Source organism: Homo sapiens, chromosome 13 (assembly GCF_000001405.40).
Source record: "Homo sapiens chromosome 13, GRCh38.p14 Primary Assembly".
Taxonomy (NCBI): Eukaryota; Metazoa; Chordata; class Mammalia; order Primates; family Hominidae; genus Homo; species Homo sapiens.
In genome coordinates, this window is record NC_000013.11 from 80890430 (window position 1) to 80913363 (window position 22934).

The 22934-nt window shown below is 34.7% G+C and overlaps 1 long non-coding RNA gene across 1 annotated transcript; it reads left to right on the forward strand.

Moving 5' to 3' along the window:
• Window positions 1-5831: 5831 nt before the first annotated feature.
• On the forward strand, window positions 5832-21298 carry LOC124903241 (uncharacterized). Its single transcript, XR_007063927.1, has 4 exons — window positions 5832-5962; window positions 8230-8321; window positions 12006-12129; window positions 18774-21298. It is a non-coding gene; the product is annotated as an uncharacterized LOC124903241 (long non-coding RNA).
• Window positions 21299-22934: the final 1636 nt, after the last annotated feature.

Consider the following 22934-nt stretch of genomic DNA (forward strand, 5'->3'; position numbering starts at 1 on the left):
TGTGATGTGCATTTTTTTCTAAACATTCCACATATGACATAGGTTTTCTTTTTTTTTTTTTTTTCTTAAAATTTTGGAAGTTCCACAATTTGCCCTCAAGACTGTACTATCAATCTAGTTAATTTTATACAGTATTTATTAACTCTAAATGTCAGCCCTGATAATAATAGGATTTTCTTTGGCAGATTTGTTTCTCCATTTTTTGATGAGTTTAATTTTGTTAATTTTCTCAGCATCTTCCTGTATGCCTGTAAAATAGGTATATGACAAATAGTTTTAAATTATATCTTTGAATGCTATCTATAAGAAACACAATAATAAGTATGTTTATATGTCTCATCATTTTTTAGCCATTATTCTCATATTTATTTCCATTATTAGTTCTACAGTTCAATGTATACTCAATGCTCACCACGATTTGTTTTTGTGTAATTAACCCTTTATTTTTTGGTTGTTTTTATTTTTTATCAATATTTTTTTCCATAAGGACTTATGAGAAATGTGTTCTTCCCTATAACTCAAAGTTAAAAACAAAAACAAAAACAAAAAGCCAACTACTAACACTAATAAAAAGTGGGTTAATGACTTGAATAGAATTTTCTTCAAACAAGACACACAAATGGCCATCAGGCATCACTAATCACGAGGGAAATGCAAATCAAAACCATCAAGTGATATCACCTTAAAGCTGTTAGTATGACTGTTATAAAAAAAAAAAAAAGACAAGTGTTGACCAGGAGGTGTAAAAATTGGAACACTTGGACACTGTTAGTAGAAATGAAAAATGGTACAGCCACTATGGAAAACAGTATGAGGATTCTTAAAAAACTAAAACTGCAATGTGATTCAGTAATCCTACTTTTGGATATTTATGCAAAAGAATTGAAATCAGGAACTTGAAGAGATATTAGCATTACTTTAACAGTTAATCGCAGCACTATTCACAATATCCAAAATGTGAGAAAAATGTTAAGTGTCCATGAATAGATGAATGGATTTAAAATTTTTTTATATACATACAATAAAATACTATAGTTTAAACAAGGGGAATTCTTCGATATGCAACAACTTGGATGAACTTTGAGGACGTTATGCTAAATGAAATAAGCCAATCACAGACAGGTAAATACTGCATGATTCTACTTATATGAGGTATCTAATATAGTCAAATTCATAGAAAGAAAGAATGGAATAGTCATTACAGGGGACTGGGGAGGGGGATGTTATTAATCAGTGGGCATAAAGTTTCTGTCAAGCAAAGGTTTAAAACACCTATTTAACTTTTCTGGGAACTGAATCAGACCCCCGATTCTTCCTGAGGAGTGCATAGCTGAAGAATCTGTTTTCTCTTCCCCCCATACTTATTTGAGCACGGAATAGGAGATGGCTTTTTTATTAAGCTCACTAATGGGTTTGTATTAGAAATTCTCATCAATCTGAAGTTCTGAGAGCTTCTGATGGGCTCTGATGAGCAAATTCTCATCTTCTTTCCCCTCTGTCTTCCCTACTCTGTTCTTCAGCGACCCTGGCATTTTCTCATCTTCTCACTCTCCAAACACTCTTCTTGCTGAGAGCCTTCTCAGTTGTTGTTATGTAACCATAGAACAACTGTGCTAAAGCCCTATCCCTTACAGTAGAAAAGGAGAAGGTTGTGATACAGACACAAAGAGGCATAACTATTTAAGAAGTATTGCTGTTTTTATGCTAAGCTAAAATATCTATGAAGGTATAATAGAGAGGAAGACAGATGGAGCAATGATCCATAAGAAACGGAAGAATGTAGGACAAACAGTGCCAGTGGGTGACTTTGCATTGAGCCACAAGATGGACACAATCTTTAAAACTAGAGGATCAGAAGTTGGCATGGATGTTTCATGGGGAAAGAAGGGGGAGATAGGAAATTTTTTAAAAATTGTCTCCCCAAATTTTCTCTGTGAATTCTTAGACAAAGTCATCTTTTGAGAATAACCAGAATGAAAGTTAATTTTGTTAGATTATAGATGTTTTCTGAGAGAGATGGTAGGAAATTGAATATATATATGTGAGTGTGTGTGTGTATGCATATAATACATAGTTATATAAACATATACATATGTGATTTTACTTATAACCAGGGCTGAAACAGTCACAATATGGCATTGACCTAATTTAGAGAGATTTCTAAACTAATATAGCTAATACAGTGATTCTAAGAATAAATTCGTTGGAAAAAAATTCCAACAGCCTGTTAACTATTGGCTTGTTAATTTTAAGAACAGGTATCATGAAAAATAGTGATTTTCATACAAACCATTTGTATGGCCTTACAAAGACATCCCTGCTCATAAGATTATTTTCTCAGGATGAATTTGAAATCCATATAACATATAAACTGGAACATACATCAAAGAATCATGTACATGAGTTTGAAACATTTTATAAGTGAACTTTGCATACCTTCAAAATCTTAAAAAGAAGAAAACTTTCATTTTTTTTTCAGCAGGCCATTTGTGAAATTTAGCATAAAATTCTGTCTAGTAAAGTTATATAATTTCTCCCTGAAAACCTTTCTTTCAAGTCATTGGATAATTCAAAGCTGTATGGGATAAAAAGAAATGGTTTTTCCACAGTGCATAAGATTGTAACCATATGCACCCAATAGTCCAATTTCTACTATTGGTTATATTATGTAAAAATAAATGACAGAATCTCTGCATGGAAAGCCAATATTACAGGGAAGTAAGTGATACAGTGAAAATAACCAGAGTGTTGTCTGTTAACTGTAACTGGAGTGTATTTGCACTGCAGTTTCTGGAATTAGACTGTTTAATGTATGTTAAGCAAAATAAAAGAAAATTCAAACATACTGAATAAAGTCAATAACTAAAAATATGTGCTATTTACATGTTTCAAACTTTTTATTTGCTTGCTTTTTGTCTTGTTTTGTTTTGTGGTATAAGTATTATTTTAGGAGAGATGAAGTAGGAACATGATTGATAATTAATATTCATTAGGGAAATTTTGTGATCGGGAGTGAAGTTTTACGATTCCTTCCTCCCTTCAGCCATTTATGTAAGTAAAGCAGTTTCATGCATTGAGACTTCCCATAAGATTAATTTTGATAAGAGAGTTTTCTAATACAAAGTTTCAAAACTGCTGGGCACTGTCAGAAAAGAACACCCTTTCCACAATTCTGGTTTTCTTGAGAAGATATTTTCCCTAAACATACTGCTATCATTGCCCTAACCCTGTGTCTAAGATGGAGTTATTCAGTTGATCAGTTAGTTGATTGATGAATGCCACATATTGGTCTACAAGTCTCAATGAGATGAAGTGAAGCTCTCAAAAGTCCACTGCATGATATTTGATAGCTTTAATGCTTCTTTCTCTGTTCATTCTAAACATCAAAATAAGCATGTTAAATCTGAAGACAAAATTTCCTGTGTTTGGTTACCCCAAATTTCAGTCTAGGGGTAGTCTCCTTAGCATAAGAGTAGGTTATCTGACTCTTATAACAAGTTATGTAACCACATTTTATCTGTATAATAGGATATTTTTGGCTTTCAGTTTTGTTTTATTTTTGGCTTTCATCTTTGTTTTATTTCTTAAATTGATCAGAATCTGGTCTGAGAATTAGGTTGATGGCTGCCTCTGACATTTCAATTGATTAGGTGATCTTTAAGGGCTTTCTCCTCTATGAGAGGGGAATAAAATTTACTGCCGATTAGTGAGTGATTACTAGGTATCATGCATTATTTTGTGTAATTTTCACACACCTTCACATCTTCTCTTTTAACTCCTCTACAATCTGATGTGGTTACTATTCTTATGCTTATTCTACTGATGAGGAAACATAGACAGAAGGATTTACTTACTTGCCAAAGGACATAGCTTGTAAGTGGTAGAGTCCAACACAAATTCAGTGCAGTCGGAATTTAAAGGCAATTCCTTTAAAAGATATTTATATCGCATTTAACATGAAACATATGACAACATGTCCTGACTAAATTAACATGTGATGTTTGTATTAAGTGAAAAATATAAAATTTAAAAAAGGAAATAAACACAGGCACCCATAATTTAATCATCTTCTATCTGATTGACTCCCCCACCCCTTTTAGTCTTCTTTTCCTCATCAAGTTAATGCTGATAGACTTGTTTGTCCCTCCATAACTTTCCTCTTGATCTGACAAACATAGGAATTCACATATATAGATGACTTGGGCTTTTTTATTTGTATATTCATAACCAAAATCTACAAATTACTATAACACTTCTTATTTTTTACATAACTGTATATTATACATCAAATTCTAATTTAAAATTAATTTATTCATGTTTATTATTTTACATCAATTAGATCCACCCCCTCTTCTTTTTATATGACTGCATACAGCAACCTCAGTGTGTACACACATAATGGAGTAAAGTCTGGGTGTACTTAAATACTTTTTTAAATGCTTATATATTTCTATAAAATATGTAGATTTATAACTTGAGTTTAGATAAATCCACTTTTAAGAATTCAGCCTTACAAAGGGTTTCATTTACTACTTCTATTTTGTCTTGCAGAGCATTTCTTATTATTTAAAAGGATTTTTAAGGATTTTCTTTGCTTCATGAACAGATGGGCAACATCACATGAGAACCACCCACGTCAAAGTTTTATACTTAATGCATTTTATGGCAGGTTTTCCATTTGCAGGCTCACAGTTTGTAAATTCATACCACTAAAAATATTGTGCAACATGCATCTCATGACATTATTTCTTTTGTTGATTATGGTATTGTAGGGGCAGAAAAGGAGTGATCTTTTTCTTCTTCATAAGAGCAATGGCCAACACCTCTATAACAAAAGACATGTTAGAGAAAAACTTAGCACATTTATTTGATTATAGTTTTCTGTGACATGAGAGCCTCCAGAATGAAGACCCAGAGATACAGGGGAAGATATCCAATTTTATGCTTTGGTTCAATGAAGCAGGGACAGCCATGTACAAGTGTGATTGAACAGAAAAGGACAGGAGCTAGCAGTGATAGACTCAAGAATTCTAGCAGGGCCTGTTTGTTCAGGTTCTTCTTGGCCTCTCTGTACAGAATTTCTTCCTCCCACGTATGGGGTAGGACTCCTCTGAAATGAGGGTCTTAATTTCTTTATGGCCAGCTGTTCCACAGAAATGTGGGGAAAATTCAGAGTAATATTTTTAGGCTTGATAGCTGACTTTAGGGAAAAATGATTTTAGTTTCTATGACTTGCCTCAGGCATGGATGAGGGGTAAGAGACAGGAGACAGGAGGGCAGGAGAAGGTCAGAGAGAAACTGCTTTTGATGCCTTCATTTTGGGGTATTATTTTCAGAGCCCCAGTAGTATCATTTACATTCTTTTCATGGGTTTCTTTGGTCTTTATTCTTCTGTTTTTTTCATTAACTGTCACATTACATAAACTATTTATACACATACACACGGATGTTCCATATGAGTCTGAAATAAAAATGCATAATAGTTACAAAACAATTTAAAGATAAGTTAGATGGTCAAATAGTAGAATGATTAATGAATTTGTAGGACTATTCAGTTTTTCTTTTTCATTTCATTTTTAAAGTTGTACTTGCCTAGCAATTTATTTCAAATTTGTTGGCATATGTTTATTTATATTATCTCATTATCCTTTAAATGCCTGAATAATATTGATATTAGTTATTTGTAACTTGTATCTCTGTTTTAAAAAGTTTATCTATATGTCTTGCCACAGATTTATTACTTTTATCATTATGTTCTAAGAAACAGTTTTTGCCATCTTGATTCTCTTTGTTTACTTTTTTTTCTTAATGTTTCTTTTTTTTATTTTTAGTTTTTGGAGACAGGGTCTCACCTTGTTGCCCAGGATGGAGTGCAGTGGCATGATCTCAGCTCCCTGCAACCTCTGCCTCCCTGGCTCAAGCCATCCTCCCACATCAAGCTACTGAGTAGCTGAGACTACAGGTGCGTGCCTCCAGGCCTAGCTAATTTTTGTATTTTTTATTGAGATGGGGTTTCACCATGTTGCCCATGAAAGGTGAAGCCAGCTGGACTTCCTGGGTCAAGTGGGGAATTTTTCTGTCTAGCTAGAGGATTGTAAACACACCAATCAGTGCTCTGTGTCTGGCTAAAGGATTGTAAGTGGACCAATCAGCACTCTGTAAAAGGGACCAATCAGCAATCTGTAAAATGGACCAATTAGCAGGATGTGGGCGGGGACAAATAAGGGAATAAAAGCTGGCCACCCTAGCCAGCAGTGGAAACCCACTTGGGTTTCTCTTGAACTTTCTAGCTAATCGAGGGTACAAGGCGTCTAGGTTGAAGGCCCAGCTTTGCCTACAGCAGGTCAAATATCTAGGCCTAATCTTAGCCACAGGGACCAGGGCCCTCAGCAAGGAATGAATACAGTCTATACTAGCTTATCCTCACCCTAAGACATTAAAACAGTTGCGGGAGTTCCTTGGAATCACGGGCTTTTGCCGACTATGAATCCCCAGGTACAGCAAGATGGCCAGACCACTCTATGCTCTAATCAAGGAGACCCAAAGGGGAAATATTCATCTAGTAGAATGGGAACCAGAGGCAGAAACAGCCTTCAAAACCTTAAAGCAGGCCCTAGTATGAGCTCCAGCTTTAATCCTTGCCACAGGACAAAAATTCTCTTTATACGTCACAGAGAGAGCACAGAGATAGCTCTTGGAGTCCTTACTCAGACTCGTGGGACAACCCCACAACCATTGGCATACCTAAGTAAGGAAATTGTTGTAGTAGCAAAAGGCTGGCCTCACTGTTTACGGGTAGCTGCAGCGGTGGCCGTCTTAGTGTCAGAGCTATCAAAATAATACAAGGAAAGGATCTCACTGTCTGGACTACTTATGATGTAAATCACATATTAGGTGCCAAAGGAAGTTTATAGCTATCAGACAACCACCTACTTAGATACCAGGCTCTACTCCTTGAGGGACCGGTGCTTCAAATACATATGTGTGTGGCTCTCAACCCTGCCACTTTTCTCCCAGAGGAGGGGGAACCAATCAAGCATGACTGCCAACAAATTATAGTCCAGACTTATGCCGCCCGAGATGATCTCTTAGAAGTCCCCTTAGCTAATCCTGATCTTAACCTATGTACCGATGGAAGTTCATTTGTGGAGAATGGGATACAAAAGGCAGGTTATGCCATAGTTAGTGATGTAACTATACTTGAAAGTAAGCCTCTTCCCCCAGGAACCAGTGCCCGGTTAGCAGAACTAGTGGCACTTACCGGAGCCTTAGAACTGGGAAAGGGAAACAGAATAAATGTGTATACAGATAGCAAGTATGCTTATCTAATCCTACATGCCCATGCTGCAATATGGAGAAAAAGGGAGTTCCTAATCTCTGGGGGAACCCCCAGTAAATACCACAAGGAAATCATGGAGTTATTGCATGCAGTGCAAAAGCCCAAGGAGGTGGCAGTCTTACACTGCCGAAGCCATCAAAAAGGGGAAGGAGAGGGGAGAACAGCAGCGTAAGTGGCTGGCAGAGACAGGGGAAGACCAGCAGAAGGGAAAGACAGAAAGAAAGTCAGAGAGAGAGAGGGGAAGAAACAGAGACAAAGAGGGAGTCAGAGAGAGAGAGAGAAAGAGACAGACAAAGAAGGAGTCAGAAGGAGAGAAAGAGAGAGACAAAGAAGAAGTCAAAGAGAAAGAAAGAGAGATGGAAGTAGTAAAGAAAAAACAGTGTACCCTATTCCTTTAAAAGCTGGGGTAAATTTAAAACCTATAACTGATAATTGAAGATCTTCTCTGTGACCCTGTAACACTCCAATACCACCTCGTTGTTGCCTTCCATTTCCAGAGTTTTTGTTTCAATATGTCTAGAGTCAGGCCTGAGAATTTTCATACCTAATAAGTTAGGGTACTGCTGGTTCAAAGATTACACTTAGAGAAGAATTGCTCCAAAGTAGGCTTTCCCTTGGTGTGGGCAGATGACTGCTGGGAATCCTGGGACTACCCTATTTTTTGGTATCTGGATCATACGCCCAGCCCAAACTAATCATTAAAGCCTGGATGTTCCAGATGGTCAGGCCTGGGTCATATGCTCAGCCCTGTATCTGGAGACAAGGTCACATGGACTGAAGAAAGCAAGGACCCACAAAGGATATTTTGGATACTATTACAGAAGAAGGCTGGGGGGCAGCGCTGGGCAAGCACAAACATCACATATTCACCAATGTCCTCTAATTCACAGCTCGACTCTGATTTGAAGAGTAGGATGGTTAAGGACATCAGAAAGAATTTCACAGAGAAAAGGGTCGAAACAGAGCATGCAAAACCACAAAGGTAAAAATAATCAAGGTGGGGTGTGAGATATGTTGTTCCAAAGTAATTTATTATCTATTTAAAAAGGAAAGAAATTGTGCCATTTCTGACAACATGAATTAATCTGGAGGACATTCTGCTAAGTGAAATAAGCCAGGCACAGAGAGACAAATACTGCGTGGCTTCCCTTATACATGGAATCTAAAGTAATGAAACACATATAAGCAGAGAGTAGAATGGTGATTACAAGGGGCTGGAAGGAAGGAGAAATGGGGGTGTGGGTGAAAAGGTACAAAGTTTCAGTTGTGTAAAATAAACATCTGGAGATCTACTGTACAACACAGATTACATGCCTGGTTATTAGCAATATTATAATTAATAATACTGTATTAAATGCTTTAAAATGTGCTAAGAGGATAGATCTTATGTCAAGTGCTCATACTCCAAAAAGAAAAATAAATAAATTTATTTTTAGAAACAGCAATAAATGGGGCTGGGAGAAATTTTTGAGGATACTGGGTAAGATTACAGTATTGATAACAATGATGGTCTGATGGCTTCACAGGTATACACCTATCTCCAAACACATCATGTTGTGTATACTAAATATTTACAGCCTTAGTACGTCAATCATACCTTAACAAAGCAGCTAAAACTTTATTATTGAAGTGGGGAAGCTTTTAGGAATTAAAGAGAGCATCATTAACAACAACGTCAGGACAATAAGTGAAACCAGGAACCGTTCTGTACAAACCAGAACTTATGGTTATTTCAATCATGGATTTTGGGAGAGTGGAGAAAAATAAAACTAAAAATGTCTGCTGGAACCTGTTCAAAAAGAAAACAATGTCTTGCTGAGTGTTTTGGAATTTGTGTTCTGGACAAAGCATTTTCATCATCATACCTATCTTAGACATAGGGTTAGTGAAGTGAGAGAATTACTGCTCATAGACATGTCAGAGTGGGCATTGATGCAACCTAAAGGACATCTATGTTTAACCACTTAGATGACTTTGACACTTGACTTCAGCCTTTAAGCTTCTCTGATTTATATTTTAAATATAAATGTCTTAGAGTCAGAGACTGTCAATGGCATTTGATGGGCCATTTTGGGACATTTTGATTATTTATAGTTTTTTGATAATTAATTTGCATAAACATTTATTTTTATCAGCATATTTAATTAGTTTGACCACAACCTGAATCCTGAGGAACAAAGTAAACAAATTTTAAATCCTTTAGATGACTTACCTGAGCTCAGTTTCCATCATGCCAAAATCTGTTTGTCCTCTGGGCCCTATGGCCATTATATATACAGCTGCTTATACCCTAGACAGCATTTTAAAGCTATTTTCATTTAGTAGTATATGATACTAAGTGCACTCATGTTAATATATATTATCACAAAATTTATTGTTATTACTAAATATATATATTATATATATATGTACTAAGTATGTGTGTATATACATATATATATATATATATCCCTGTCAATAATAACTTTAAGTGACCGGAAACTTCACTGAAATGCAGCGTTTTGACTTCAAAATGTAATGGTATCAATCATAACTTGGAAGAGTATGAACATTTTCAAAACACTTCAATGTACAAAAAACCACAGTGACTGAGAGGAAACTGCTGCTATTTATTTGCAAATTACTTGCTGAAAATGTAGTTTAGTATCAACGTGTTGCCCAGCTATAGAAGGGCAGCATTCACTTTGTGTTCTATGTGAGTAGAAACCGCACAGTTGTACAACATGGTTGATCCTCAGTTACATTCAAAATTTCCCAAAAGGTATAGCTCTTTATTGCAGATGCTGAGTTATTTTTGGTTTTTACATTTTATTAGTCACTGTTACAACAAAATTTTCTTTATAAAGCTTTTTACAAATCTAGGAAATACATCTTCCTTGGCAGAAATGATTTCTGCTAGTCTAAGTGGAGCCTGCTCCAAGAACCCTGGATGTTGATCTGAATTATTTCATAAGCATCCTTTCCAGAAACACATTGACAAAAGTCCCAGAATGCCTGGATGGCTCTGAGAGCACACCCTCCCCATGAGACTGTGATAAAGTTACTCATTTTTAGAGCATTAACTTAAGAAGTTATAGGAAAAGATGTTTTTTTCTTTGGACTCACAGTTAGCTATAACATAACAGCAATAGATAGAAAGCTCCCATTTGCTGGAGGAGTGTCCCACCAGCCAAAAAAACAAAAACAAAAACAAAAAGTATGTGGAGGAAAAAAAAATACAAAACAATACAAATACAACATACTAAAGCACACTTGAATTTTGAGCTTGGGAAAACTTAGTGTCCAAACACAGGTAAAAGGGTTTCCAAATAAACTGACCATCTGAGGGATATTTTCCACAAATTTTAGTGTTATTGGAAATGGATAATTTGAGAACAAGCGGGGAAAACAAAGGAATAATTCTTTAAGCAGGCATGTTCTCCTGTAATCTTGCCCTTGTGAAAAACTGCCCGCAAGCATACTTAAGGGCTTATTGTTCTGTTTTCTGTGTGTGTGAGGTATGATCATGCATCTGGGGAATTAGTTATAGAATGGAAAACGTTCCCTGGCCTGAGACTACAGACAGAGCTGTTCCGGCGTTGCTTTGGCTTAGTGACAACATGTTAAAATTCCTCTTAGTGCAGCCATGGTGGAGTCTCAATTTTTCTCAAACAACAAGATAAAAATTATTCTAGTTTGCAGACCTTGCTTGATCGATTTTATGTTTGACCAAGAAATCACAAAAGCAACTTGTATATTCAATTACATAATAATTTTTAAACATTATTTGTAAATTTATTTATTTGCCTCTACATGCCATTCAATATCTAGCTAAGCAAACAAGTAAAACACATGTGAATATTTGTATCACTGTCCAAAAGACATAGATGAGCAGCAAGGAAATAAATGCCATGACCTTTTACTTGGCTACAGGTTTGTTGATTGCGGACAGATGTTTAATAGGTTTTCATTTTCTTTCCATTTTTTTTAAATTGTACTATGTCTCAATTATTTGGAGATGATTTATCCAGTTGTCAACACCTTTAATCTAATTTCCTAAAGCTTGGTGTAGATTGTTACTGGGTGGTGTTACTGGGTGGTACGTAGAAAAGCATGAGGAAGTTTCAGCATAAATCTGCTAGTTTTCTATTGATACTACTTCAGTAAGTTTAGTGGAAGAGAAAAATATGCATGTACTGAAACATTTATGAAAATGGTACATTGTAATATGTCTTAAGAGTGAATTGATTTTTTGTAACTGTTACAGTTTCTAAAATGCTCAACAGATCCTATTTTGTTTTATTTAGACATGCTTTTCAAAAATTGCTTAGATAAAATATTAATTTTCATCAGGTTTGTCAAAAACAGCTCACTTTCTTCTACTTGGAATGCTGCTTGCTTGGTTTCTGGAAAATATAAATATATTTCTTGAGATATGCTAATTTAAATAAAATTAAATAAAAAATGCAAATTTAATTTTTAAAAAATTTTAAATACTTTTTAAAAATAGAAAAAAGAATTGAAAATAATTTTATCATGTCAACCTCATCCTTTTGCATTTCGCGTCAGACATATTAACGTAGTGTGATGCCTGGAACATTTTAAGAATACTTTGGAATTAAAAAATTTATTTGCTAGGAAAATTTATTTTTTACTTACTTACTTATTTCTTTATTTTTTGAGACAGAGTCTCAGTCTTTTGCCCTCACCCAGGCAGGAGTGCAGTGGTGCAATCTTGGCTCTCTGCAGCCTCCACCTCCTGGGCTCAAGCGATCCTCCAATCTCCACCTCCCGAGTAGCCGGGACTACAGGTATGCGCCACCAGGCCCAGCTAATTTTCTTGTGTGTGTGCATGTGTGTGTGTATATGTGTGTATGTGTGTGTAAGTGGGATTTCGCCATGTTGCCCAGGCTGGTCTTGAAGTCATGGGCTCACGTGATCCACTGTCTCAGCCTCCTAATATACTGGGATTACAGGCATGAGCCATCGCACCGGGTTGGAAAATTTAAATTTCCATAGCGTTTACAGAAACTTAGGAAACAAGAGAACTCTAATTTTCTAAAATCGAGAGCTAACTTGAAAGCAAAGAGGAAACAATTTATTGTTTGCCAAAGTTGTAATAATGTTTGACTGTGGTATGATTAACAGAATTGAGTAATGAATTAGTTTATGTTAGATGATTTGACGTAATTATTTAACCTGCTGTTTTATTGGTTTGTTTTATTTTACATAATATGACGATTAAAACTGTGATTTGACAGTATCTTTTAAAATTTATGTATTTGGTTAACCACTAGTTTGTATCTTAATCTAAAAAACCCTGTATTGATGTTTTCTTTGGTCATAAATTCTTCTTAATTTATTATATTACTAAATTTGAAATATTGACATTAAATTTCGTCAGCTGAAACATTAAGGAGATAATTTTTTTCTCTCTCTCGGTAGCTTTTGAAGGTGGGGAAATTGTATGAAACCAGTCTCTGTGATAGATTTATTATCAACCTTTACTTCTCTTGTTTGGATATATAATAGATATTTTCTTAAAATAATATGCATGTAAAATACAGCACATTTTTAATAGAAACACGTCTTCTAATATTTACATTGTGTTACAAATTATGTTAAGCTGTAACATCTCTCTTATTTCTTTTTTCTTTTTCTCTTCTTTTTTCTTTAGGCTTGCTCTCCTTTTTTAAATTGTACATGTAATATTAACTGTAGGGGGTTTTGAAAAAGTCAGGTGATATTGAACAATTTCACTATTAAAAACAAGAAAGAAACCCTGGATGCTTCTCAGTCTTTGGTAACAGAAAAACTTGCAGCATTTTTATTTTTTAGGGGAAGAGTCATAAACTCTGTTTTGTAGGTAACCTGGAAAAGGGTGTTTTTATCAGATAAATGGTCAAGACAGGGATATGAAGTCACTGACATCAATGCCTATTTGCATTATTTTTATGAAAAAAATGTTGTTGATACCAAAATTGGCACATAATCCAAAAAAAACAAGCAATTCAATATTTTGATGTGTGCTACAAAAGTGATGAATAATTTGGGTTTGTCCACATTACCAAAATAATAATAAATCCTTCAAAAATATTAGTGTATTAGATATCTTTCTGGGTTTTGAGATTTTGTTTCCTTTTAGTGCACTAGCAATCATGTAGATTTATTCATTTACATTTGTGTTTACCTATAAGACTTCTATATAGTATTGTTTGTAGTAAAGTATATTTAGCCCCTTTTTTTCTTACAAATATTGAGCAACAGCAAATTCTTTTAAGTGTGTGCATTTTTTAGGTATAAAGCCATGATTAATGTCTTTCTCTAACTTGTCTGAATTTTGTGCAAAATCCAAATATATATCTGGATTTCACAATAGCACTGCTTTTACCTCATTCTGTCAGGTCAAACCTTGTACAAACTGACTCCTTTCCTTAGCTTCAAAATATTAAAACTCAAATGACTCTGGATAGTACTATAGGTCATTTACTAATTATATATACAAACATAGTGATTATTTTTTAAAGCAGAACTTCTATGAGCTTCTGTTTCTGGTTGAGAATTAAATCTGTTTATCATTTGATATTGCAAAGTCAGAAATGATGTTATATCATTTTTAATTTAGCCTATCTCATTAGATGTAAAAATGTCTTTAACATTTGTTAATCTAATTATCTGCTTTGTCAAAATATGTAGTGGTCAGTAAACTTTTTTGTGTAGTTTTTGGTGATGTTACTTCCTACCTCCCTCATTGTGTTTACAATAAATATATGGTTTGTGTACAGCAAAAGACCATCAATATCTTCCTACTCAACAAAGTTTAGTCTAGAATTGCTTGCTGTAAACAAAGATGAGAAAAGGACACTTTGTTTACTCAGGAATGTGGTCTAATGTCTGAAGTTTTGCTTTTATGAGCTTAGCATGTTTTGTTTTTTTTTTCAAATGAATTTACGTTTTGTAAAGAAGCTTTAGATATTCTTTGTGATAGCTCAGTGTTAAGGCATAAATTTAATTTTGAATTCTTATAAATATTCTACATCATAAGTGATGTAGAAAATCTATCTGAACTACACAGTAGTGACTGTGGTAGTAGTGGTGATAGTAGTGATGGTAATAATAATTTCACTTATACCCATACCTAGTTTTAAAAGCAATTTTGCTGTGTGAGATAGAATAGTAAGACATGGCATACCTACTTTCAGGTGAAAAAACACCTTCATATAGCAAATAATGTACAAGCCCAAAGTGAATGGTAAAGGGAGTGCCAAGTAAATATCATAGACATATGAGGAACATAGAAATTTAAAGAACAAGGATCTTGAGTCAAAAGCACCTTTGTGCCAGTGGTGTGAGTTGTGTTGGCAGCATTTTATATGAAGTGAGCAATAATGGAAAATCCCAGATACATGAATGGATTCAGAATGGTAAGACTCTAGGATTTGAGAGACATTTTGTGGGACTGCAAGAAAGTGAATACAGGGAAAATAGATTAAACAAGCATTCTGAATAGTTTGAACTTTGTTCTCAAGCAATGGGAAGACAAACTACCATTTACTGGAAATTAGCTATTTTTCAAGTTTTGTGCTATGCACTTTGTGTGTATTATCTCTCTCTCTTTTTTTTTTTTAACAACAATCCATTTAGGTAGATAGAAAGATGACATGAAGAGAAATAGAATAGCTTTACTTTCACAAATTTATTCATTGTGTTAGAGAAATAAAATGGAAAGCATATATTCTGAGTGTGTATGAGGGTTAGTTAAATTAAGTTATTTTCATTTCTACTTTCCCACATTTTAGTCATGTATTTACATTGTGGTGAATAGACTCCATGTTCTAGATACTGAGCTGCAACTTACAGTGGTAAGTAGTTGAATTGGTTGTCAAATGAAGTTATTTGTGTTCCAGTCTCTGTGCCACAGAGCTTCTCAGAGGCAGTAGGTCTGTCATCAAAAAAATGGCACTGTGAAAGCCCTCTTATGTCACCATCTAAGATTTTGTCCAAGAGAATAGAAACTAAGAAACTGAGATGCTGACTTTGCCAGAGTCATAGAGCCAGGAAATGATGGATACTTAACAGCTCCCTTCCCCAAAACAACCTTGAATGGTCCACCAGATGGCTGGCATCAAGGTTCAAGTATGTTTGACATTGGGCTGCCTTTCTGATGCTACTGTGCAGTTCTCATTTTTCTGGCCTTACTTTGTTACTTGATATAGAGACACAAACTAAAGCTTGAAAAATCCAGTAAAGTAAATAAAAAAGCATTACTGTTTCTATTTCCAACTTCCCTTATATATCAAAAATATTCAGCTTAACTTCTAAAGCCAGAGTAGAGTTCATTCATGTAAAGCCATTTCTCCTAGAGGCTAAGATAGAAGAGATTTGCAGAATGGTTGGACAATTAAAGATGGAGTTAATCATTCTCTTTTCATTAGGAAGCACATTGCTACATGTCCAAGAAAAACAACAATTTTAAAAGCCCTATTTTGTCAATTAGCATAAAATATGGTATTTCTCTGGTTTACTAAGTCATAAGAAACTCAATTTTTATTACTCTTTTCTTTGATATTTTTTCCATAACTATATATTTTTTATTTTTGCCATCATTAGGAATGCATATTTGAAAGAAATATGTACCCACATTAAATAATCTTATCTGTGAAAGGCAATAGTAAGTAGCAAAATTGACTCAGTAGGCAGCTATTATGAATGCCTGCATAGTACCTCAGGAAATATTTAATAATTGGAGGCTTTAATATTCTAACACTTCTTTTAAGGTCTCAAGCTAAGAAGGATCGCTAAATTTCTGTGTCTTGAGCAAGTGAATATGAAGTAGAGATGATTTATGAGGTGAACAGGTAGTAAACAAAGTCATTTTAGGGCTCAAGCAACTTATTGCTTGTATTACCTGGAGAAAGTCCTAGTTTTCTCATTTGTTAAAAACAAATGGTATAAAAATATGTGTTCTGATTCATTGGTTTGGTATAGGATTTCATTACATGTTAGGAAAAGCAAAAGGTTTTCGAAAACTCTAGAACTTATTTCAAATAAACACTGTTTTAAAAATGTATCACTCCTAGTTATTATCAATGTTACTTCTTACCCTTTTGGTCCCCAACTTTTACTGTCGTTTTTCAGAATATAACATTTCAAATCTGTGGCTCCTTTGTGAAAATGTGGAATGGGGCTCTGAAACACTGAGCACATGCTAGCGTTCAGTGCTCAGTACTCTCAGTGAGGCTGCCCATCATCTCTCAGGGGAAGCCAGAGTGACAGCATCTCAGATCCACACTGTCCTTGAGCAGGGAAGTTGGGGCCCAGTCACAGCTCCTGTACTTCTCAGTGTGCTCATCACCTCTCTAGGGTTTCACTTCCTTCCATGGCAAAAAAGAGGAAGGTTGAAATAGCTGATCAATAAACTTCTTTCAATTGTTAAACCCCATGTTACTATGAACTACAGCTAGAGATGATGATCTTGGGATGCTGAGTAAAGTATTTTAAAACATAAATTTAGAGAAGTTAAAAGTAGAAGTTTTGAACAAATAACTAAGCCAAGACTTCATTACTTTTTGCTGTAGATTTTCCATTTTCATACTTTGTATTAAATTAGTTAAAGTGAAGGAAACATCAACACAAGTAGGTGTGTAGAAGGCCATCTGAGGGGAGATTAAAGTTTATTTATTTATGTGTTTATTATTTTTTGAGATAGGACCATGGTCTGTCACCCAGGCTGAAATGCAGTGGTGCAGTCATGGCTCACTCTAGCCTCAACCTCCCATGCTCAAGCCATCCTCCCACCTCAAACTCCTGAGTAGCTGGGACTACAGGTGCACACCACCACACCTGGCTAGTTTTTGTATTTTTTTGTAGAGACAGGGTTTCACCATGTAGCCCAGGCTGATCTTAAAATACTGGACTCAAGCAATCTGCCTGCCTCGGCCTCCCAAAGTGCTGGCCGCACTACAGACTGTACCTGGCCAAGCCTAAATTTTTAGAAAATGTAAGTTAAAATACCTTATTTTAAAAGACTGCATATATTTTACAAGTTTCTCAGAACATTTAATCAACATACTTTTTTATACTGATATTTAAGAAAATAAAAAACGGTGATTGAGAGCTTGAAATTTGGAATCAGAGACCTGAGTTAAATATTGGCTCCATCCAGTTTTATCACTTACAGCCATATGGATTTGGCCAGTTTTTCCAACTTATTTCAGCCATAGTTTCTCATCAGTAAAATGAGAATAATTTAGCACCTGACTCATAGGGTAGTTATGAAGATTAAATGAGAATATGTGTAAAGAACAAAGTGGAGTAGCAGTGAATATGTGAATGTGCTATAACTATTCATATGACTAAGGATAATTTGACTGATATATTAACAGTATTTAAAGTTATAAAATTTAGAACTAACATTCCAAGGTTAAATAGCTTATTGATGAAAAATATGATAACTTCCTTTTTATGTACTCTATTCCAGTCTTTTGGATTGCTATACCAACTTGCATTGATCACTCTTCAAAAGTCTCTCCATAGCTTACAGAATTTTTATTGGAACTTAAGACCAGAGAATGTACCAATGTGGAAAGTAAAGAGCTGTTCTGGATTAGAAGGAAAAAAAAAGAAATTTAATGTGCTTTTCCTTAGTTCTACTACTGTTTTTGCTTGCTTTAATGGGTGGAATGGAACTGTGACTATAATTAAGTAAAATGAATATTGAAATAAATATTAACTTCAGAATATAAATGGGAGAAAAGGCACTAAATACAAATTTGCATCTGCAAGAAGTGAGAGGTTATAAATATGTTGTTAGATCACCTATAATGTCTGCTTTAGGCACCTAGTTCTTGCAGTTTTACATTGAAACACAGAGACAAATACAATATAAATAAGTCATTACAAAGCTCTTAATCCAAAGAGAGAGATACACACAGAAATAATTAAAGGATTTCCTAAATAAAGGACTAGATAATGTGCTGTTGGACTAAAGTGATGGAACTTCTGAATTCTTTTTCAGAAGATGGAGAAAGGAGGCTTCCCAGGTGTTAACATTAAATTCTAGAGCAAAGAAAAAAAATGTGTAGAATTGTGTAGTTCCTTGTGTGGGTACAGAATTTTGGGGAAAGCAGCTGTTCAATAATAAGTCCTGATATTTTCTATATATGTTCAGAAATTAACATGCACTTACATTGTTGATTAATCCTCACACATATTTATGAATTATTATTATTATTTTAAATAAATGATGTAACTCAGTGACATGGCTTGACTCTGTGTCCCCACCCAAATCTCATGTCCAGTTGTAATTCCCAGTGTTGAAGGAGGGGCCTGGTGGGAGGTGATTGAATCGTGGTGGTGGACTTCCCCTTTGTTGTTTTCATGATAGAATTCTCATGAGATCTGGTTGTTTGAAAGTGTGTAGCACCTTCCTTATCCCTTTACTCTCTCCTGCTAGCCATGCGAAGATGTACCTGCTTCTGCTTCATCTTCTGCCCTGATTGTAAGTTTCCTGAGGCCTCTCCAGAAGCAGAAATCTGGAAAGTCTGCAGAACTGTGAGCAGATTAAACCATTTTTCTTTATAAATTACCCAGTCTCAGGTATGTCTTTATAGCAATGTGAGAACTAATACACTCAGACTGAGAAAAGTTAGTGACTTATCTAACAATATATAATACCTCTCAATTCAGTTTTCTTATTATTCTGAGGAAATGTTTTAAACACATGTGAGTTTGAAAGTAAAGTAAATTATAGTAAATTTAGGCACATTATTATAATAAGAAAAAGTACTCAAAAGGTAATTGCAATAGTTTATGAATATTAACATAGTCTAAAATGTGTACCACACATTCACTTTCTCTAAACCTATTAAATGGAATCAAGATTCTGAAAAAAACTGCAAGAAAACAATTATTTATGTCCAGTGTTGTCTTAAAATGTCATTGTAAATTGCAAGATTATTTATTCCTTTTTTTGTTTTTTATTTCGTGTTTAGTTGACCAGATGTTATCCACAGATAACTTCCCATAAGAATTAAATATAGAGCCAAAAGTATTGCATTAAAAATATTGTCAGTGAGATAGAAATCCAGGAACTGTATGTGAGAAACCTTAATCCTTCTCTTTATTTCACAAGTTGGGAACAAGTTCCAGTAGTAAGTAGGCAGGTGGTGTAATGAATATTTTACTATATAAGAAAATCCAGAAGTTACTTTCAGCTCTAGGTCTGCCATGTAAAAGCTTTGGGACTATGAATAAATTATTTAATTTTTAAATCACACTGTCCTCATCTGCAAAATAAAATATACTAGCCTAAAATAAAAATAATCTAGTCTAAATGCACTTTAAGATCCTTTTTAGCTTTAACTTTACTTTTGTAGAAAGCTTCAGAGGGATTTTGACATGCATTAAGGGATAATGGGATAATTTCACTAAATGTGTTAGAATGAGGAAAATAAAATTCGTTATTAGTGCATCAGGAACATAAAGAAATGTTGAATGGATTTTCCATGGGAGACAACAATGGCTCCATCCAAGGTTATAGGAAAAAAAATAAAGTGATAGAATATATCTTCGAAAGTAGCTTTTAACATATGTGCAGAGAATTGACACGGCACTAAGATATTTATATTTTAATCTATTATTCTGGTAATATTGCACAATATGGGGCTTGAATCACATGACATTCAAAAATAGGTTTGGTAAATCATTTTGAACTTCATTTTGAACATGTCTGCATGGACATAGGAAATGGAATGTTGAGTCTGTTTAAGAGGTTTAAGAGAGAAGAAGAAACAAGTTAGGGAGAGATTCTAGGGAAAGGGGACGCAGGCAAGAGGGGTATGTATTCACAACATTGTATTACTCCCTTATAACAGGGACTCTTGCAGACTGAGATTACATTTTGGAAGAGAGAGAGTTGAAATTAATGTTGACTTCTGGAAATCAAGCCTTATATTAGGTCACAAATGTACCAAAGAGGTACAAATGAAGAAATAATAAATGAAATAATTTATAAGACAGGTTATATGTGTGGAGGGAAACTCTCTGCATGCTGCATAAGTAGGAGTTCTGGAAAATGCCAACTCTTTTCTCATGTGTTACTTTAGACATCATTCCTCCATTAAGCCATTCTGAACCTATCTAAGTCTGGATTTTGTGCCCTCTGATAGACCGGGACAAATGTAGCCCATAAGAACTTGTATCAGTCACGATTGTCTTTATGCTTGCCTTTTCCCCCACTCAGAAGGTGCACAGGCAGGTTTTATCTTAAGCATTGTTGGGCATTGCACTTAGCTCCATTTTTGCCATGTAGTAGGCTGACACAATGAACTAATGGTCTGTGGTGGCAGAAATTAAGCTTGTTTGCAAAGAAACACAATATAACAATAACAATAAATACATCAAAAAATAGATGTGAAAACAGAAGTGAAGTGGTTAAAAGCTAGGGTTCTGATGAGGAGGAGTGTTTCTTATATAAGATGAACCTATTACTGTGTCATCAAGAATCAGTATCTTCATGATTTTCAGCCTTAGTTTCCAAATTTGTAAAACGGAGACAACAACAATGTCTATCTCATAGGGGATTTTAGAAGTTGAAATGAAATAATACATGCTCATGTATAACCTATGTATATGTAATACAAGACTAAGTGCTCAAAAATGTTTACCATTTTTATTAACCATAACTTCTCCTATAAATGTCATTAGAATACAGAAAAACAAGGAAGGATTTTCTCACAACAATTAAGTGTGTTAAAAGTAATATAGATTATTTTGTATCAGGAAGAAATTTCATCCAGCGTAAACACTTTTCATTTCAAAAAGTATGAGATTAGAAATTGTATTCTTTCAAAACTGTAGTCAGACTGTATATTTCCAGTGCCTGGCACATATCTGTCAAATATGCAAAGCCATTTCGTTTCATTTTTTTTTTATTATTATGCTTTAACTTCTGGGATACATGTACAGAATGTGCAGGTTTGTTACATAGGTATACATGTGCTGTGGTGGTTTGCTGCACCCATCAACCCGTCATCTACATTAGGTATTTCTCCTAATGCTATCCCTCCCCCTAGCCTCCAACCCCTGACAGGCCCTGGTGTGTGATGTTCTGCTCCCCGTATCCATGTGTTCTCATTGTTCATCTCCCACTTATGAGTGAAAACATAGTGTTTGGTTTTCTGTTTCTGTGTTAGTTTGCTGAGAATAATGGTTTCCAGCTTCATCCATGTCCCTGCAAAGGACATGAACTTATCCTTTTTTATGGCTTCATAGTATTCCATGGTGTATATGTGCCACATTTTCTTTATCCAGTCTATCATTGATGGGCATTTGTTCCCATCAATGGGAACAAGTCTTTGCTATTGTAAGTAGTGCTGCAGTAAACATATGTGTGCATGTGTCTTTATAGTAGAATGATTTATAATCCTTTGGGTATATACCCAGTAATGGAATTGCTGGGTCAAATGGTATTTCTGGTTCTAGATACTTGAGGAATCACCACACTGTCTTCCACAATGGTTGAACTAATTTACCCTCCCACCAACAGTATAAAAGCATTCCTATTTCTCCACATCCTCTCCAGCATCTGTTGTTTCCTGACTTTTTAATGATTGCCATTCTAACTGGCGTGAGTTGGCATCTCATTGTGGTTTTGATTTGCATTTCTCTAATGACCAGTGATGATGAGTTTTTTTTTTCATATGTTTGTTGGCTGCCTAAATGTCTTCTTTTGAGAAGTGTCTGTTCATGTCCTTCACCCACTTTTCGATGGGATTGTTTTTTTCTTGTAAATTTGTTTAAGTTCCTTGTAGATTCTGGATATTAGCCCTTTGTCAGATGGATAGATTGCAAAAATTTTCTCCCATTCTGTACTTCATTTCTATATAACAACTTGGAATATCACAGTTCTATGCACTAGAAAGGAGATTTCCATTTTTTTCTTAACCAATGAAACTTCATATCCTCTTTGGGAAGTAGGTCATTTAATGAGTCATTGGTGGAAAGAAAATCTACTTTAAAAACACAATACTTTCTCTTTTGTTTCACAGATACAAGTTTCTACAAGATGCATTTCCCTTTACAGTTATGATAGTTCTCTTTAGAATCTAAAGGTTAACTCTAGCTTGTGTGTGTATGGTGCATGTGCTGTGAATGTTGTAAGAAAGCCAATTCAAAGAGATTATGTAATTTAGAAGATAGATGCTTTGATTTTTTTTTCTTTTCTAAGAACCAGCGTGCTGCCTTTTCTAATACAAGGTTGGGAAATAGTTCTGTAGCTAGATGGGGATATATTAATATATACTCACAGGGCACATAATGACAGTGCAAAAATATGCTTTCATCAAGAACATAAAAGATGGAACAGAAGTAATATTTAACAACAGGTAGAGATTGGTTACCATGGCATCTATTACAGTGAAAGTGTCTAAAAAGCACAATCTGTTGCTCTATTTAATATAGTAAGTATATATTTTTGCGTTTGTAAAGTTTTGAGATCTAGTCTAATGCTTTTAATATATGTGATGCTTCTATATGCCTTAGGAATGACTACTATTTCAAAAAGAAAAGGTTCCATCTAGAACAATAACTCAAATATAATGAATAAGTTAATGCG